The sequence below is a fragment of the Homo sapiens genome, chromosome 3, assembly GCF_000001405.40.
Source record: "Homo sapiens chromosome 3, GRCh38.p14 Primary Assembly".
Lineage (NCBI taxonomy): Eukaryota > Metazoa > Chordata > Mammalia > Primates > Hominidae > Homo > Homo sapiens.
In genome coordinates, this window is record NC_000003.12 from 155,591,850 (window position 1) to 155,612,176 (window position 20,327).

The window sequence follows — 20,327 nt, forward strand, 5'->3', positions numbered from 1 at the left end:
ATGTGTCACCACACCTGGCTAATCTTTTTAATTGTTTGTAAAGATGGGGTCTCACTATTTTGCCGAGACTGGTCTCAAACTCCTGGCCTCAAGTGATCCTTCCCCCTCAGCCTCCTAAAGTGCTGTGATTCCAGCCAGGAGCCATGCACCCAGCCTAAGTCTTCAGTTTTTAAGAGTGAAAAAAAGAGAGAGATCAAAGTTTAATTATGTCAGTTAATTTCTCCTGCAAGAGATTGGTTTAGGAATGAGGCAGCAATAGTAATTTTGGGAAATGATGAGAAGTTGTCTTTTGGGGGATTTCTGGGAAGTTTTTCTTTTCTCTTTTAAAAAAAAAAAAAAAAAAAAAGATTCGTGGCCAAGCCTGGTGGCTTACGCCTGTAATCCCAGCACTTTGGGAGGCTGAGGTGAGCAGATCACGAGGTCAGGAGATCAAGACCATCCTGGCTAACAGGGTGAAATGCTGCTCTACTAAAAATACAAAAAAAAAAAAAAAAAATTAGCGGGGCATGGTGGCAGGCACCTGTAATCCCAGCTACTCAGGAGGCTGAGGCAGGAGAATTGCTTGAACCCAGGAGGCAGAGGTTGCAGTGAGCCGAGATTGTGCCACTGCACTCCAGCCTGGACGACAGAGCAAGACTCCATCTCCAAAAAAAAAAAAAAAATTGTGAGAAGAAACTCTACTACCTCTGTTTAGGGCTGTGTTTAGAGATACTGCCTAAAGCTGCAGCAGTTCTCTCTGACCAAAGGGCAGTCGGCTGCAAGACGAAGCCAACACGGTGAGAATGGCAGGACCTGGGTCTCTGATGACATCACTGAACCAGTGAAGTAGCTGCCCCTGGAACTGCCCCATCTCAGGTCTCTTGTTTATGAGAAAATTAATATTCTTTATTGTTTAAGGCACTGTTAGTACGGTTTCTGATACTTGTACCAGAAAACATTCAGTATTTTTGGTTGGTTGTTGTTTACCAAATGTTAAAGAGTTAGAAATCAAACCAACAGATTTAAGCACAGAAAGTTAAATCCTGTTTGTGTTTTGTTCATTTCTAAATCCCAGTTGCCTTTATCTGCATGCTGTGAATATTGATGAAAACCTCATGGCTCATCAACTCAGACTTTTCACACTGTCAAGATCCTTTCATGAGCTGAATTATTTCCATTCTTTTCCAGCAATACTCTGGGTGAAGGATTATAGCCAGAGCAGCACAAATATATCACCAACCCCTGCGAAAAAAATTAGGGCACACATTCTAATGACGGCAAGGGAGTAGCGCTACTCCCTGCAAGGACAGAGACACCTGTATTTTAAGGCCATTCAAAAGGTGAAGAAGGGAATCAAGGGAGTCAACTAGCCTTATACCCTCACTTTACAGATAAGGAAACTGAGGCCAGAAAGGCCTTGCTATATGCCCAGTCAATCCCAGCAAGAAGGATGCCTGCAGACCAACTCCATTAATCATTTATCTTGTCAGCACTGCAGGACCACAAGCATGGGTTTAATCAAGAATGAGACTTAGATTCCAGTTTCTCAAGCAATTAAGAGAGGGTAAATATTAGTAAGTAAAAAATAACTTCCCCTTTGGTATCAATCAGTTCAATTTCCAAACTGTAAGTTAGAAAGAGAAAAAGCAGGAAGGAGCTCAGTGCCCAGTATCTAATCGCAACTCACAAAGTATTTGTTAAACTAAACTGACTTTATAACAAAGTAGGATTTTCTCTAATCCAAATCAGTGTTTTCCCAGTTACAGTTAATGAATATGCCTATGATTTAAAAGAGGCAATGATACTTAATGGGCACTTTCCCTCTCTTAGGAAACTTGAGGCTGTATTTGGAGACCTCTGATTGTGGAGCTAGATTCGGTCTCTTTAAAGAATTTTGCTCCTGAGTTCATACAAGCTTAAGTGTCCATACATTTCATGCGTTCATTTATTTGGAGTGAGAGTCAGGAGGGGAGAAGACGGTGTGAGGGGTAAAGAAAGAGAAAGGAAAATTATGGGAAAAATTAAAACATAGTCTAATCCTTACTTCACAAATGCACACACGCATACACAGAGAGCAAGAGAGAGCTGAAAATAAAGTTCTAGAAAGGATATTGGTCATGGGTCCTCTGCCTTTTGGCAAGGGAGTCTTCATCACTGATGCCAGCCATCAGGTACTTGAGGCCTGTGATCCAGGTGCGGGCCTCCTCGGGGTTGGAGGTGATGAGGTCCAGGGACTCCATGTGGTTGCCATGGTAGATGGTGAAGCAGCAGCTGGGGTCGAAGTTCCCCTCAGCTTGTCTGTGGAATATTTCAGACTGCCGGCCCTCAGTCACTTTGTAAATGGAATCAATAAGTACTGTGAGGAAAATGAGATACACACAGTTATACAGCAGGCAAAGATACTTCTTTACATGCACTAAGAAACAAGAAAAGCAAAATCATTTTAAATATTAAAAATAAGTATGAGGCTGGGTGCTCACGCTTGTAATCCTAGCAGTTTGGGAGGTCGAGGTGGACAGATTGCCTGAGCTCAGGAGTTCGAGACCAGCCTGGGCAACATGGTGAAACCCCGTCTCTGCTAAAATAAAAAAAAAATTGGCCGGGCACGGTGGCGGGTGCCTGTAGTCCTAGCTACTCAGGAGGCTGAGGCAGGAGAATTGCTCGAACCTGGGAGGCGGAGGTTGCAGTGAGCCAAGATCGTGCCACTGCACAACAGCCTGGGTGACAGAGCAAGATTCCATCTCCAAAAAAAAATAAATAAGTAAGTATGAAAAAATTCACTGCCTGCAAGTTGTGGTTTCAGGTTAAATGTGAAACCCAGGCCCTGTTTTTTCCCACTAGAAACCTTCTCTGCATAACACTTGTGCTGCCTGAGCTGTCTTGACAACATTCTCCTAAGGCAATAATTCAGGACGTGTTGAAATTTGTAGTAAAAAAAAAATAGATATGTCAATTGAAGCAAAAAGACTGGTAGAAAAGGTGGCAATGACTATGTCAAATTTGTAGTTTACATATTTGTAGAAAATATGCAAAGACCTAGAGTGGACTTTGGTGTTTTGCAACATGCATAAGAAGATCGTTAGAAAACTGAAAGGAAAAAGAATTTCTGACAATCAAATAGCTGAGCTACATGGAACTGGCATTCCTAGAGAAAATGCCATAGGGCTAAGGTGGTGAAGGCAGAGCAGAGCTTGGAGAAGTGGAGAGGAACAAGCTGACACCTGAGGAGAGGCAGAAACAGATATAGAAAGATAAGGCCCATTCCAGGGATGCTGAGCAGGCCGCTTATGGTGGATTGGAAAGCTCAACAGGGAGAATAATGGGAGATAAAACTGGAAAGGTAGACAATGGCTAGATTGTGGAGTGGCTGGAATCACAGAGATTAGCATTATTTAGTTAGCAGAGCAAATATGAAGGTTTGGATCACTGAAGCACAGGGCAAGAAGGATAATTTCAGACTAATAAATTATTTTTGGTCTGTGTGCTTGTTTATTTTTCAGTAGGAATCAGAAGTTTGTATATCCTATTGATTATTTATATACACCATCTACCCCTCACTTCTGCCTTAATGGCAGGGTCCCAATTTTCTTCTGGTATCAACTCATTTCCCACATGACTCACAGGGAAATGAGCCTATGCTCAGCCCAAGGTTCTGCCACCTTTGTACTCTGGGACTTGCATCAGTGGCCCCCAGGTTCTCAGGCCTTCAACCTTGGACTTGGAATTATACCATCATCTCCCCTGCTTCTCAGGCCTTTGGACTCAAACTGAGCTACACCAACAGCTTCCCTGGTTCTCCAGCTTGCAGATGACCTATCATGTGACTTCTTGGCCTTCATAATCACATGAGCCAATTCTACTAAGTCCTCTCTCATACATCTATGTATCTATCTATCTATCTATCTATCCTATTGATTGTGTTTCTCTAGGGAAAGCTGACTAATATAGTGTGAGGGAAAGAAGCTTTAAGTAGGAGTCACATCAAAATGACTTTACTTGATAAATTTAAATGGTGTTGTTAATTCATTAATCACTTAATAGTGTTCAGAATATGACAATACATTTTAAAGCCCATTAGCTTTATAATGTCCCTCACCTTTTATAGGAATGTAAAACATCTCAGGCTGTAAAACCATATATTCCAACTAAATATATATATATATATATCATGTCTCCAACACAGGGGAAGTATTAGCATTTACAGCATTCATGGACAAGAAAACTTTTATGGATTTAAATTCCCCAAAGATGGTCATTATTCTGCCTCTCAATATCCAAAATCAACTATCTCCAAACTTATAAAAGTATAAAACTTCCACAGATCTGAAGCTTCAAGAGCCCACTCAGTATAACCCGTGTGTTACTATGTCCAGCCAAGCAAAGAATTCAAAGATTTGTTTTACTTTTTGCCTTCTCACTCTTCCTAGAGGGTCGCCATCGGAGGCGTGTCCGGTGCTCATCCAGGTAAAAGAGGCGGACAAGCCCTTTGGTTCCACGTTTCAGCTTGATCATCTGTGTCCCGGACTGCATCACACTCATGCATCTTTCAACTGCAAAAGAAATTAGAGTGTATCCAGCTATCACACAATGCACAGGCATACTGGTGTCCAGGTTTTAGAGTCAAATAAAACCTCTGATTCACCTGCAAAGACTCCAAGGACCAGAACAAATTTGGTAGAGGTAATCTGAAAAGTGAGTTGTTAAGGAATTGATTCAACAGGCTTAAGTCAGTAAAAAGCCTTACTAACAGAAAAAAAAAAAAAAAAATCTACTTCCAGGTAAATAATGCAATACTTCATAGGGCTATCTTCTGTTCTGTTTTTTGGTATGAGACTTAAGACCATTTGATACTTGGATTTATGTTCTTAAAGTAAGTTCTCAGACATGATAAGTCTTGTGAGTTTTTATAGAACCAATTATAAAAGTATCTTATAATAATGCTTTAAATGCAATCAACAGAAACAAGATTGGCAAAATGCTGACTGTTGTTAAAATGGGATAATGATTACATATGAATTCATGTTACATATTTGTGATGTTTGAAAATAGCTAAATAAATTTCTGTAAATGTAATCAGAAAAAAATCAAGTTTTCACAGTTGAACATAAAACACTTGCTGATGCATTAAACTGCTAAGATAACCCTTCTAGAAGAATAACTTGTTGAATGAATCCAGGTAATATCCAAATCACTTATAGTCCAAGTTAAAGTTGTCATTTAAATCCACTCTGCTTTGAGACAAATCTTGCTGGATATAGGAATCTGTTATTTTTGCCTGTTTCCCCTTGTTTGGTAATGGTGCCCCAACTTTTCCTTTAGAAACATCCTCTACCATTTTGTGTGCCTTTGATGGCCTGCCAATCACCCCAGTGAAAGAGTAGACACACCTGACTTAAGCTTGGAGCAAATCTGACTCCCTCCCAAGAACATAAATCCTGAGCATATCATTGCTTGAAAACAGAACTGAACCATTCAACAACTGAGATACTCCTAGTTGGCTACTCTAAGATGTGACAGTTGTCATAATTCTTATTCTTCCTAAGACTGACAAATGATCCCATTTTCCCCTTGATTCTGCAAGTTATCCAGTACCCTTCCAAATATTTTTTTATTATATCAACCAGAAATAGCTTTTATTTCACAAAGATTACCAACTAATATACAGACTTATGTATAAACCATTAGAGCACTCAAAATACCTAGTTCTGAGTACCTACCTTATCAAGCAGTATGCTGTTAGAAACAACAGATAAAAGAAACACAATAAACAAACCTCAGCAACATTAGACTTCTGCTTTTTTGGCTAAATATTTTATCTTAACTAGGAAAGATAATCTCATCCAACACCTTAACATTGTATGCATAGGGTGCCTATTAAAGGTCACTTCAACATAACAAATGTTCACAATTTACTCCATGAAGTCTTTCCTTTCCTCAAAGAAATCAAGGAGGAACTGCAAAAAATTAAGTATAGTTTCAGGATTCAATACTACAAAGAAGATGAAGTATAGGTTGCGTTTACTCATTTTATCTGACATATCAAATTCCCAAATAATAAAATATTACTTAAGAAGGCTGGGCGCGGTGGCTCATGACTGTAATCCCAGCACTTTGGGAGGCCGAGGCGGGTGGATCACCTGAGGTCAGGAGCTCGAGACCAGCCTGGCCAACATGGTGAAACCCCATCTCTACTAAAAATACAAAAATTAGCCAGGCGTGGTGGCAGGCACCTGTAATCTCAGGTATTTGGGAGGTTAAGGCAGGAGAATTGCTTGAACCCGGGAGAAGGAGGTTGCAGTGAGGTGAGATCACGCCATTGCACTCCAGCCTGGGCAACAGGAGCAAAACTTTGCCTCAAAAAAAAAAAATTACTTAAAATAAACACACAAACTTGAAATGCTCACTTTAAAGCACAGAACAAAAGTTGAGATTGAGTTTGATATAAATTAGTATATTCGGCCACCACTGAGCATCACTCTTTTAGGCAATGAAAGCTACATAGTTGAATTCTTGACAGCCACATTAACCATCTCACACGAGGAATTAAAGGTTCAAGACAAAACCACCAAATCAAACCAACCAAGCCAAAATTCCCAGAAAAGCCTATTAGAACTTCACTGACCACTGACAATAGATCATATCAATAAACAGATGTTTATAGACAAACTCCCTGTTCCAGGCACAAGACTATTTCATAAGGTGAAGCAAAGAACAAGGAGACTTTGCCTTTGACCTTAAAGAGTGTAAATTTTAAGAGAACAAAACATCTATACAGGATACTTATTAATGGCAATTCAGAGCTGTGGTGAAGAATACAGTCTGTTTCCAGCTTGGGGTAGAATTCCAGATCTGCCACTTACTAACTGTATGACTACATACAGCTAGTAACTCATTTCCTTATCTATAAAATGGGAATAATTATCTACTTCCTGAATTGAAGTAAGGATTGAATGAGTTAATTCATGTAAAGTACTGAAAACAGTAGCTGGCACATCCGAAACACCAAAAATGGTAGCTATTTGTAACAGACTGAATGTGTATTTACGTCCCCAAAGACCTAACCCTCAGTGTGATAGTATTTGGAGATGGGTCTTTTGAGTGGTAATTAGAAACAGATGAGGTCATGCAAGTGGGGCCCCATGATCTCTCTCTCTCTCTCTCTTTCCCTCTCTTTCTCTCTCCACCCGCCCCCCTCCCCATATGAAGATACAGCAAGAAGGTAGCCATCTACCTTTTTCAAGCCAGGAAAAGAGTCCTCACCAGGAAGTGAATCTGTTGGGACTCTGATCTTAGACTTTTCAGCATCCAGCATTGTGAGTAATAAATGTCTGTTGTTTAAGCTACCCAGTCTATAGTATTTTGTTACAGTAATTCAAGCTAAGACACTGCTATAGTTTTATTGTTATTGAAATAGTTAAAAATAAATGCCCAGTCAGAAGTAAATACAGAAATACTATGGGAGGCCAAAGAAAAAGAGAATAGAGTAGGCTGGAATGGGGAGAAATGTAGTAATAAGACACCATCAATGAAGACTTGGGTATAGGAAAGGGTATGAGTTAAGAATGATCAGAAGAAAAGAGAAAAGATGAGCCTCTATCTTTGGAAGAGTGACTCAAAAGGGAATTGACAGAATGTATGATTCCATGAGCTAGATAAAACCAGGTTGTGGGGGGACTGGGGATGCTGGTTAAGACTTTGATCCACCAGCAATGAGAGGCTCACTAGATATATCTGTTCAAAGGATTGGCTGGCTAAAAAATATAATTTAGGAAGATGTTTCCTTGAGAAGAGAGAATAAAACAAATTGTTTAAGCCAGAGTGGAAAACCGAGTTAACTATATTATCAGAGATCTAACAGCAAGGACTGCCTATGTATCTGACACAGGAAAACAAATTGTTTACGCCAGAGTGGAAAACTGAGTTAACTATACTATCAGAGATCTAACAGCAAGGACTGCCTATGTATCTGACACAGGGTCCTCTGTTTTGTTCACAATCCCTTTCTTTCCTTTCTCAGCTCCTTTTCCTTTCCCTGAAATGGAACTGCCATGGCTATAACAGCTCAACATTTTAACAGGAACGGTATATCTGCACATTGTTTTAGCATAAAATCATATAAATCATATAATATGATTTCTATGAGACCCTGAGTCTGAAACAATAGGCTTCTTAAATTGTTTATGTAGCTGCTTTATGCTTTCTACCTGATTGCTCCCTATCACACAGAAAAGCCATTTGGATAGAGGTAAATTGAAAAATCAAGTCCACTGAAATCTTGAGAGTCATCTAACTTACTTTTCCCTTTCCCAAACAAGATAGTTGACAATGCCTTGTAATTACAAAGCTAACCAGAGATAACTGGTTAGCACCCTCAATAACTCTTTGCAACTCATTCCAGTGGGCAAAAGTCACCAACAATACATACAAAATATTCTTCCAGTCTCATCTAGATCATTTACGTGTCAGCACAAGCCACTTTCTTCCTATTCTGCCTCCAACAGAAATGATTAACAGCAGTTACCACCCCTAAAAATCATTGTCCACCCATGCTCTATTGGTAGATTCCATAAAAGAGAATAAGAATGGCTTTGCCACAGGTAAACAAGGGAAGAGTTCTAGTGGCTTAGAATGATTTAACTTCATCACACACATTTCCAGTATTGAAGGTTCTCTGAGAAAAGTCTGCAAATGCAGGTTACAAATTCTGGCAGCTGCCAATATGTTCACCATCCCTTTAATTCTACATTCTCCTTTATGGTACGCTTAAGATAGCTAAAAAAAAAAAAAAAAAAGTTTATTTGGATACAATGCAGCAACATCTACCAGCCCATCACACAGCACAAATATTGTTTGTATCTGTTATGCTCTAGACCTTCACACTTGTATAAAAATGTGTTGCACTGGTTGAAATTGTGATATTTAAGCCATTTGGCACTCTGCTTCTTTCATTTGTATTATAACAGCTTTCCATGTTTCTACAGAGTCTTAATAATTATCATTTTAATGGCTGCCTAACAGAGTAGCATAAATATTTAAAGAGCAGAACAGATGAGTCGAAGACTATATTCCTAACTTTATTACATAGCTAGAGTTTTAAAACTCTTAATAGAGTCCCATCGATAAAAGAAAAGGCATAATAATGTGGTCTACAAGGTCTTTTTTTTTAGACGGAGTCTCGCTCTGTAGCCCAGGCTGGAGTGCAGTGGCGTGATCTCGGCTCACTGCAAGCTCCGCCTCCCGGGTTCACGCCATTCTCCTGCCTCAGCCTCCCGAGTAGCTGGGACTACAGGCACACGCCACCACGCCCGGCCAATTTTTTTTGTATTTTTTAGTAGAGACAGGGTTTCACCGTGTTAGCCAGTATGGTCTTGACCTCCTGACCTCGTGATCCACCCGCCTTGGCCTCCCAAAGTGCTGGGATTACAGGCGTGAGCCACCGCACCTGGCCTACAGGGTATTAAATAATTCAATTTTTTAAAATAATTAAAGTCAATCCTTTCTGCCACAAGCAGTTTAATATAAGTAAATTTCCTTAGGGGCTATAAGGTCACTAAATCCCTCAAGCAGAAAATGTTGTAAAAAATACATACTTTGGATTTGAAGTAACATATTAATATCATTTATGTTATATATGTGTATATCACTTGGCAATATACATATATAATACATATATACATATATATGATTAGTATATGTCATTTGGATATATATACACATATATGATTACTATATATCATTTGGAGGAAGGTTCCCAAGATTTCAACCAAGTATGTATGACATCTAAGAAGGTTTAATTCTTCCAATTATGTTTGAATCAGAAATAATCACATTCTGTTAGGAATGTCATACATGCCACCTGATGCTGATTTTTTTTTACAGTTTTACTGAGGTGTCATTGATATGCAGTAAAATTCAACTGTTTTAAATGTACAATTCACTGACTTCAGTTTATTTACAGAGTTGTGTGACAGTCTAATCACACAACATTTCCATTATCCCTCATGCCCATTTGCAGTCACTCCCCATTTTCACCACAGTCCTGGACAACCACTGACCTACTTTCTATCTCAATAAATGGGCCCTTCCTGGATAGTTCATGTAAATAAAATCATATAATATGCAGTCTTTTGTGCTTGGCCTTTCACTAAGCATAATGTTTTTGAGTTTTCTATGATGACTATGTTGTTTCTTATCTTTTCCTTCCTCCAGCCCCGCCACATCATGCTAAACTCTTCCACTGGCACTTCGGGTAAAAATTACCCTGAATAGGAGACAGGTTGAGTAAAATAAACAATGGAGTACTATGTAAGTGTAAAAGATAATGAGGAAGATCTCTATGAACTGATATGGAGTAACTTCCAGGAGGTTTCAATAAGACAAAGTATGAATAGGTAAATATAGTATGATATCTTTTGTGTAAGAAAAGAATGGGAAATGTTTTAAATATACAAATACCTGCTTATCATTACAAAAACGAACCCAAGAAGGATAAATCAGATAACAATGGCCCTGTTACCTATAAGAATGACAGAAAATCGAGTAGAAAGGATAAGAAAGGGAATGACACTACTCTTAGTATCCCACATACTTAAATCAGTAAGAGTAGGAAGGGGAACAAAACAGAAAGTAACACAGTCCTGCACCTCTTAAGGGTGAGGATACATTCTGAGAAATGTGTCATTAGGGGAGTTTGTCATTGTGTGAACATCATAGTGTATTCACACAGACCTAGATTGCATAGCCTATTGCACGTCTAGGCTGTATGGTATAACCTACTGCTCCTAGGCTACAAACCTGTACAACATGCTACTGTACTGAATACTATAGGCAATTGTAACATAATGGTAAATATTTGTGTATCTAAACACAGAAAAGGTACAATAAAAATATGGTATTATAATCTCACAGGAACCACTGTCATATATGTGGTCCATTATTTACTGAAATGTCAGTATGTGGCACATGACTATAAATATATAAACAGAAAGCAATCTACACACACACACATATATACATATTTGTGCATGTATATTTGCATGTTTGTGTATATGTGTATGTTTTTATATACCTGCATATATTTCCTTGTTCTAGCCTTTGAAAGGACCAACAGGCAAAATCACTTCTAGCAGTAATATGCACACTTGGTGCTCTGATCACTCTTTGCTACAAAAGAACCTTGAGACAGATTTTCACATACAGAATCATGACCATTCGCCGAGATTAGGGTCATACAAGAATATCACTTGCACTCTTTTGTGAACACATCTATTCTGGGACACTGATCATTGAACTGTGAATTAGCAGGCACAAAAACAACAACAACAAAAAAAAAAGTCCAGGTCCTTTGCAAGACAATCTTTTTAGTAAAAAGGTACATAAAAAATGTGAACTGATTTCCTGCCAGCTTCCACAGATTAGAGTAAATCTGAGTAATTGAAAGAGATTAGCTTCTGAAAACAATTTCATTTCTATGTGGAAAAAGTGCAAAATGATGCAGGTAATGTTTGTCAAAAAGTAAGGAAAGGGAGATTTCCTAAAACCATCAGGGCAGAAGTAAAGGGTATGTTTGTTTAATTCTCAGCACAAACCCAACACCTATTTTGGGACTTGGTACATAGCAGGTGCTGAGAGATCTAGTTTATGGCATGGCAGCTTGATAACAGCATCTGCCCACAGTTTTGTGGGCACAAAGAAGGGAGCAAACAGAGTTCTGGTCTGGGCTCTGTCACTGGCTGTGTGAACTTCAGAAGGTAACTGAATATCCTACTTTCCTCAACCTAAAAAGGCATTTTTCTCTATGTTCTGTGAGTTTATAAAACAGCTGATCTAGCTTCCATAAATGTTATTTTATCTTTCAATGAGAAAAAATTCCAGTTCTTCTGAAAGCTTTTTAGAATAATTTTAAAGAAAGAAACTGATTAACATCTGGGTGTCTTACTACAGACATGATTTTTTTTTAATGATCTCTATATAAAACATAACTGCTTGGCTGTGTGTGGTGGCTGACACCTGTAATCCCAGCACTTTAGAAGGCCAAGGTGAGAGGATCACTTGTGCCCACAAGTTCGAGACCAGCCAGGACCACATAGGGAGACCTGGTCTCTACAAAAAATTTAAAAAATTAACCAGGTCTCGTGGCACAAACCTAGAGTCCCAGCTACTCAGGAGGCTAAGACGAGAGGCTCTCTTGAGCCCAGGAGGTTGAGGCTGCGGTGAGCTGTGATTGCACCATTGCACCCCAGCCTGGGAGATAGAGCAAGACCCTAGACTCAATCAATCAATCAATAAAATATTAAGTGAAGCCATTATCTGTGAAGAGCAGTGTATATAAATAAATATATATATAAACTAATTATTATAGTTTATTCATATAAAACTGCTCTTCACAGCAAATGGCTTCACTTAAAAAGCTATTCCTTGCCAGTAGTAAAGCCTTAAAGTCAAATAATACAAGCTTATGAATAAATGTGCTTACAAACAACCATGGAGTGATTCACTCTTACTAAGTCATGATTCTTCCCAGTAAAGAACAAACAATGTAGAGTTTGTTAATTTTTTTTCATTGCCTAAATCATTCCTGTGGAGAAGACAAGATTATTTAAAAGGCTTTTAAAAACTAATTGGTTAACAGTTTGAAAATTGTTTGCGAACGTTGCATGTACATAGTCAATATGTTTATAAACTTGATAAATACAAATGAGGAGAATTCGGTCAAAGAAAGGGTGAAAGGAATTCATCAGTAGTTTGTTAAATGTCAGACCTTTTTCTATTTGTATTAAACCCTTCCACATAACACTTTCTTTTTTAATGATGTCTATTTTATGTGTAACAATTGTGTCTGTTCCATGTTTTCCATACTCATGGAAAACAAAAGGAAATACTAAAAATTCATAACAATATAGTGGCAAGTAGGGTCACCAGAGCCACTCAGAGAAAGGAGACCCTAAACTCTGGCCAGCGAAAGGTAAGAATTTCCTGCTAGCCGGGCTTCTGGCCATTCTCTGTGCAAACTGGTTAAGAGAATGATAAAAATCACTGTTTGCCTCCTCTGCAAGGTTTTAATTAATGAGAAAAAGGATTAGTGTGACAAGTCTTAGATTGTAGCGAATCTGGTGTACTTTGTGCTCTGAATTTGTCTCTCTTTGCCATTCTGTCATGGACGGCATTCCACTGGATAAAACGCAGGTCTAGGTCTCCCGCCATTCAAGTTGGCCCAGCAGACTGGTCAGTTATAAACTTTGCTTTGGGTCCCTGAAACAAAAACTGAATGAGGTTTCCCTCTTGTTTTATGTCCTGGGGAGCATGACCCTGTGACCCTGTAGAGGTACTCTCTCTTTGTCTCCACCACGTGGAGGGTGGGAATTTTCAGGTTCACATCGGTGACTAGTCTGAAAGGAGTCAACACACTCTTAGTCCAAATGTGTCAAGCCCTTGGGTGAGTTTTGTCTTAAAAGGTCTCATGCTACCATAAGCCCATTTCTGAGAGTAAATTCTTGGGGATCATGGAAATGCCTACTCTACCCCCTCTCTAGAAATATTTCTTGCTTGTATGATTTTAAAAAATAAAAAAATAAAAATCTGAAAAATTACCATTTGACTTTAAAGAACTTTTGGATTGAGTTGCTATTAGAACTAAGTACACTATTAAAACAAAAAGGACTTTAGCAATCTCTTATTCTCAATAATTTTTTAAAGGTTTAAATTAAAAGAAGGATGCATTATAATGTCATCATTAGCCTTAAAAATCATCTTAAGCAGTTAAAATCCTTTTCAAGCCCGAAAATGCCTGCTCTAGGCTCCTTCTGGGAAAAATAATGGCAATTGCCCCATGCTACAGCTCGGTAGCAAAGGCTTTGCCCTTTTGCAATGGCAGCCCGAGTTCAACTGCTGGCTTAGAGAATGAGTTCTTTCTGGTCTGTTGTTTGTGTGACCTTTGCCATTTATTGATTTTTTTTCTCTCCATGAACAACTTCTAACTTCCTGTGTTGAATTTTCCCTTCTCTGAGCTACCTTTGGGGTGATTCTAGATCTTGTAAAAACAACTCGCCCTCCCTTTGGAGACACCTCATGTATCTGTGGCTAAGTCATAACCTAAGTTAAGGCTTACTGGTTTCACTTGGGAAAATATCTTCGTGGGAGGGAAAAAAAAAAGAAGGCTTAAAAGCCAAGGGTGTCAGCTATTTGTCCCAGCTCTAGCTGGTAAAAAGAGATTTTAAAGAATTTTTTTTTAAGAAAAAAGAGCTCTAGAATTAAAAGTCAGCTTAATTAAAAACAGATATCAAAGCTATACGTATATTCAAAAGGGCTTTATGCTTTTTTTTCTTCTTGAATCTTGTTTTTTGAGGAAAAAAAGTTTTCTTCTCAGTCCATTGAATTGTTTCTCCATTTACTTCTTCTTGCTACCCTTGATGCCCACAAGTGAGGACCTAAGGTAATTTCTGACAGCCTGGGACTCCTTAGGAAAAACAGAGGAGGAGACCCCGTTTTAGGAAAAAACTCTGTTTTCCTCATGGAACCCCAAGAACTGTAAATGGACAGATCTGCTCAAAATCTAAGACTTCGCTCTGTTTTGCATTGCATCACTTGATCTTTTTTACTTTGGGGAGCATCAAAAATAACTCCACATTATGAGGAAACTTTCAGCCTTGGTGTGTAATAGCTAGGTAAGAAATATACTTTTAGAGATATAGTTTATGCTTGGTATATAATTAGCTACGTAGGAAATATACTTTTACTATTGCTCTGTAGTAGTAACCATTCACTCTAAGTGGCAGTTGCTTATAGTGAATGGTTATTACCACAGGAAAATACTCCTTTCTTTGCACATTTAGATAAGAAAAACATGCTCTTGGGCATGAAGAAGGTATTGAATGGGGGAATAGGCTGATAATAGAGTCAGCTGATTGCCATTGGGTTGCCCACCAGCCTTGGAAAAATGCCTTTGCAACAAGATACACTGTGGAAGCACTGTAATGCCTCATCCAGTTGAGTTCCCAACTTTTAGAGAACCTAGGATTCAATATATAAATGGGATCTTTAATCCCTGGTGATCTGTTTTACCTTCCAGTTGTGCCTGCTTATTATGCCCTAGAAACTGACTTCTTCCTCACCCTGTTCCTTAAAAGGCTTCACCCTAAAGCCAATAATACAATTTAAAAATTTACATCTTTAAAGAAATCTCCATGTGTAACAGTGTCTGCTTTTCCTGGACAAAATGGTGTGAACTTTAAGTCACACCATTTTTTCTTGGTTTAAATAAAATGTAAATCCTCTATCTTGTTTGATCTAAGAGTTGCCCTCTTAAAAATGCAAATTTAGAGTTGCCCAGCTGACCACTGTTTAGGGCAGGAAGCAAGTAATCAAGAGACTGATGGTCTAAAATGCGAAAGAGAAACTTAAAAACTGGCAAATAAAAAATGTATTACTCTAACAGATCTACTTCTGTTTGTCTGTGTATTTATATGCGTTGCCTGTATGATATTTATATAAAAGAGCCCTAATAAATTGGCTTAAAGAAAAATAAGTACTTAAATAATATATTTTGTCAAAAAAATAAAAAAACATGAATGCATTTTAGTTTTTTTATTATAGTAATCTTTGGTAAATAAATACAATGTTTATTTGTTTTTTTTTCTTTTGAGACAGCTTGTCACCCAGGCTGGAGTGCACTGGTGTGATCACGGCTCACTGCAGCCTCAACCTCCCTGGGCTCAGATGATCCTTCCACCTTAGCCTTCTGAGTGCTGGGAGTAGAGGTGCATGCCACCACACCTGGCTAATTTTTGTATTTTTTCATAAAAACAGGGTTTCACCATGTTGGCCAGGCTGGTCTCAAACTCCTGGGCTCAAGCGATCTGCCTGCCTCAGCCTCCCAGAGTGCTAGGATTACAGGCATAAGCCTCTGTTTTATTTAAAGATTATTAATAAAAATATCTTCAAAATATAGGCATTTGGGAAGAAAAATGGCAGAGAGAAGTCAGGACTAAGATGCAGCTACCATTTGGATGGACAGGACAGAGTATGGAGACTCACACTGTGAAATTCTGCTCCAAGAACCACTGCAGGAATGTGCCAGGAAGAGAAAGAGTTCACAGATCCTGTGGAAGAAACAGCTCACTCTGTAAATTCCACGAGACAGCAAAAAAACTGAGTTCCCAAAGTATAAGAGGAGAAAACCTTCCTTTGAACTTGAAAACTTTCAGGTTCCCCTGGGGAACCTGAAAATCCAGATTATAGGAGAAGGAATTAACCTTACCTAGAGCTGAAATGGATTTAGGGAGCCAAGTGAAATATTAAAGTAGAAGAAGCAGCAGGAACAGCCCTGTAGGCACTCCCAGTCACCAGCTCCAGGCTAGGGAAGCCATTCTTGACTTTATCTAACAGGGGTCCTTGGGGAAGGGATCCCACAGGACTAGGGAGGGGGTCACAAGGTGAAAGAAGCTTCTAGCTGAACTTTATAATAATTTCGACTGAGCATGAACTTTCTTGAGCAGAATCTGGAGGGACAAACAGAAATTGCTGCAGGAGCCATGGCTGACAGTGTGAGCAGGCAGGGAGGGGTGAGGCCTGAAAGCTGTGCTTGCCTTCTCAACAAGGAGGCTTGAAGCCTGGGGCAAGGTCTGAGCCTGGTGCATAGACTGCCTGCATATAAACTGCACGAAGCTGCATGGGAGCTGAGTGAGGCCTGTCACTGCTAGTTTCCCCCCACTTCCCTAGAAACCAGCTCACTAGCTTCATGGAAGCTGTGTGAGGCCCGTCACTGCCAGCTTTCCCCCACTTCTCTGGAAACCTGTATGCGCAGTGAGGCAGCCGTAATTACTCTTGGAACATAATTCCATCGGCCATCCCACACAGCAGCCTCAGCAACTCCCACCCAAGGAGAGTCTGAGCTCAGACCCGCCTGATCCTGCCCCCATCGGATGGTATTTCTGTGCCTGCCCAGGTAGCTGAACACAAAAGACATAAAGTCTTGGAAACTTTATGGCCCTGCCCATCGCCTGAGAAACCAGAATATTTATCCTGGCCAACTTAGAGCAAGCTTATATCCTCTTTCTACTACAGCAGCTCGTGCTCTCTTGAAAGTGCCACCTCCTGACTGGAGGTCAACCAACTCAAGCAATTACAGCAACTCAAGACAGAATAACTCTGCTCCCAGGAAAGGGAAAACAATAGCAAATTCCATCTCATGCAACATACTGGCTAACCAGAGGTCCTGAGTATGTCCACATGACAATTTCACTGCCACCAAAACCAGCATTCAAGAAAATCAGTGCACTAAACAAAACTACAAGCAACAAATCTCACAGAGTCTACTTCATTCCCTTGCCACCTCCACCAAAGCAGGGCTGGTATCCACAGCTAGGAGACATGAAGATGCCTGACATCACAGGACTCTTCGCAGACTTTCCCCAGCACCAGCCCAGAGCCTGATGCCCCACTGGGTGGCTAGACCCAGAAGAGCAATAAGAATCACTGCAGTTCAACTCTCAGGAAGCCCCATCCCTGGAGGAAGCAGGAGAACACCACATCAAGCAATCGCCCCATGGGAAAAAAGAATCTGGACAGCAGCCCTTGAATCGCAGATCTTTCCAATGAAATAGTCTACCCAAAGGAGAAAGAACCAAAAAAGTAATTCTGGTACTATGACAAAAAAAGATTCTATAGTACCCTCAAAAGATCACACTAGTTCCCAGCAATGGATCCAAACCAAGAACAAATCTGTGAATTGCCAGAAAAAAAGAATTCATAAGGTAGGTCTATTATTAAGCTACTCAAGAAGATACCAGAGAAAGGTGAAAAACAAAGAAATTAAGAAAATAATAAAGGATATGAATGAAAAATTTGCCAGACAAATATATATAATAAAGTAAAAACAAACACAACTTCTGGAAATGAAAGACACTTAGAGAAATACAAAATACACCAGAAAGTTTCAACAATAGACTAGAACAAGTAGAAGAAAAAACTTCAGAGCTCAAAGACAAGGGTTTTAAATTAACACAATCTGACAAAGATAAGGAAAAAAGAATTTTAAAAAAGAACAAAGCTTCCAAGTAATTTGGAATTATGTTAAATGACTAACCCTAAGAATAATTGGTATTCCTGAGCAAGAAGATAAATCTAAAAGTTTGAAAAACATATTTGAGGGAACAATCATGGAAAACTTCCCTGGCCTCACTAGAGAGCTAGACATCCAAATATAAGAAGCTCAAAGAACACCCAGGAAATTAACTGCAAAAAGACCATCACCACTGGGTGCGGTGGATCACAGCTATAATCCCAGCACTTTAGAAGGCCAAGGCGGGCGGATCACCTGAGGTCAGGAGATTGAGACCATCCTGGCTAACATGGTGAAACCCCATTTCTAATAAAAATACAAAAAATTGGCCGGGCATGGTTGCACATGCCTATAATCCCAGCTACTCAGGAGACTGAGGCAGGAGAATCGCTTGAACCTGGGAGGCAGAGGTTGCGGTGAGCCAAGATTGTGCCATTGCACTCCAGCCTGGGCAACAAGAGCAAAACTGCGTCTGGAGAAAAAAAAAAAAAAAAAAAAAAAAACCATCACCTAGGCACATTGTCAACAGATTATCTAAAGCAAAGGTGAAGAAAAGAATCTTAAGAGCTGTGAGGAAAAACCGTCAGGTAACGTGCAAAGGAAAACCTATCAGATTAACAGAAGATTTCTCAGCAGAAACCCTATAAGCTAGTAGAAACTGGGACCCTATCTTTGGCCTCCTCAAACAAGATAATTATCAGCCAAGAATATTGTAATCCAGCAAAACTAAGATCCATAAATGAAGGGGAAATAAAGTCTTTTTCAAACAAATGCTGACAGAATTCACCACTACCACACCAGCACTACAAGAACTGCTAAAAGGAGCTCTAAAACTTGAAACAAAACCTCAAAATACACCAAAACAGAAGCTCCTTAAAGCATAACTCTCACAGGGCCTACAAAAAAAACAACACAATTAAAAAAAAACACAAGGAATTCAGAAAACTAGCATGATGAATATAACAGTACATCACTTTCAATACTAATGTTGAATATAAATGGCCTAAATGCTCCACTTGAAAGATACAGGATGGCAGAATGAATAAAAATCCACCAACCAAGTATCTGCTGGTTTTAAGAGACTTACTTAACACATAAGGACACATGTAAACTTAAGGTAGAGGGGTAGAAAAAGGTATTCCATGCAAATGAACACCAAAAGCATGCAGAAGTAGCTATTCTTATATCAGACAAAACAAACTTTAAAGCAAAAACAGTTTAAAAAGACAAAGAGGGCCAGGCACGGCTCACACCTGTAATCCCAGCACTTTGGGAGGCAGATCACCTGAGGTCAGGAGTTCAAGACTAGCCTGGATAACATGGCAAACCCCCTCTCTATTAAAAATACAAAAATTAGCCAGGCATCGTGGTGGAGTCCTGTAATCCCAGCTACTCAGGAGGCTGAGGCAGGGAGAATTGCTTGAACCTGGGAGGCGGAGGTTGCAGTGAGCCGAGATCAGGCCACTGCGCTCCAGCCTGGGTGACAGAGCAAGACTCCGTCTCAAAAAAATAAATAAATACAAATAAAAAAACAAAAAGGAATGTTAAATAATGATAAAAGGATTAGTCCAACAGAAAAATATCACAATCCTAAATATATATCTTCCTAAAACTGTAGCTCTCAAATTTATTAAACAATTACTACTAGACTTAAGAAACTGATGAACAACAACACAATAATACTGTGGGACTTCAATCCTCCACTGACAGCACTAGACAGGTCATCAAGACAGAAAGTCAACAAAAAAACAATGGACTTAAACTACACCCTAGAACAAATGGAACAGATATTTACAGAACATCTTACCCAACAACTGCAAAATATGCATTTTTTTCTTCAGCACATGGAACATTCTCCAAGACAGATTATATGATAGGTCATGAAAAAAGTCTCAACAAATTTAACAAAATAAAAATTATACCATGTATCCTTTAAACCACAATGGAATAAAATTGGAAATTAACTCCAAAAGAAACGCTCAAAACTATACAAATACATAGAAATTAAATAATCTGCTCCAGAATGAATTTTGAGTCAACAATAAAATCCAGGTGGAAATTTAAAAATTATTTGAACTGAACAATAGGAGTGACACAACCTATCAAAACTGCTGAGATACAGTAAAAGCAGTGTTAAGAGGAAACTTTGGCCAGGCATGGTGGCTCATGCCTGTAATCCCAGTACTTTGGGATGCTGAGGCGGGCAGATCACCTGAGGTCAAGAGTTCATGAACAGCCTGGCCAATGTGGTGAAACTTCGTCTCTACTAAAAAATAAAATAAAATAAAAT

The 20,327-nt window shown here is 39.2% G+C and overlaps 1 protein-coding gene across 20 annotated transcripts in view; it reads right to left on the reverse strand.

The window, feature by feature from the left end:
- PLCH1 (phospholipase C eta 1) overlaps positions 1-20,327 on the reverse strand; it is a 294,138-nt gene that overhangs the window by 140,916 nt on the left and 132,895 nt on the right. For 19 of the 20 annotated variants that reach the window (XM_017005927.2, XM_047447747.1, XM_047447746.1 and 16 more), the window contains 2 exons: positions 4,383-4,529; positions 2,092-2,335 (listed from right to left, as the gene is read on the reverse strand). In XM_017005927.2, the coding sequence (XP_016861416.1) occupies positions 2,092-2,335; positions 4,383-4,529 (391 nt within the window). Of the gene's footprint in view, positions 1-2,091; positions 2,336-4,382; positions 4,530-4,621; positions 4,890-20,327 lie in introns of those variants that run through there. The other variant, XM_017005926.1, reaches the window with a different exon arrangement.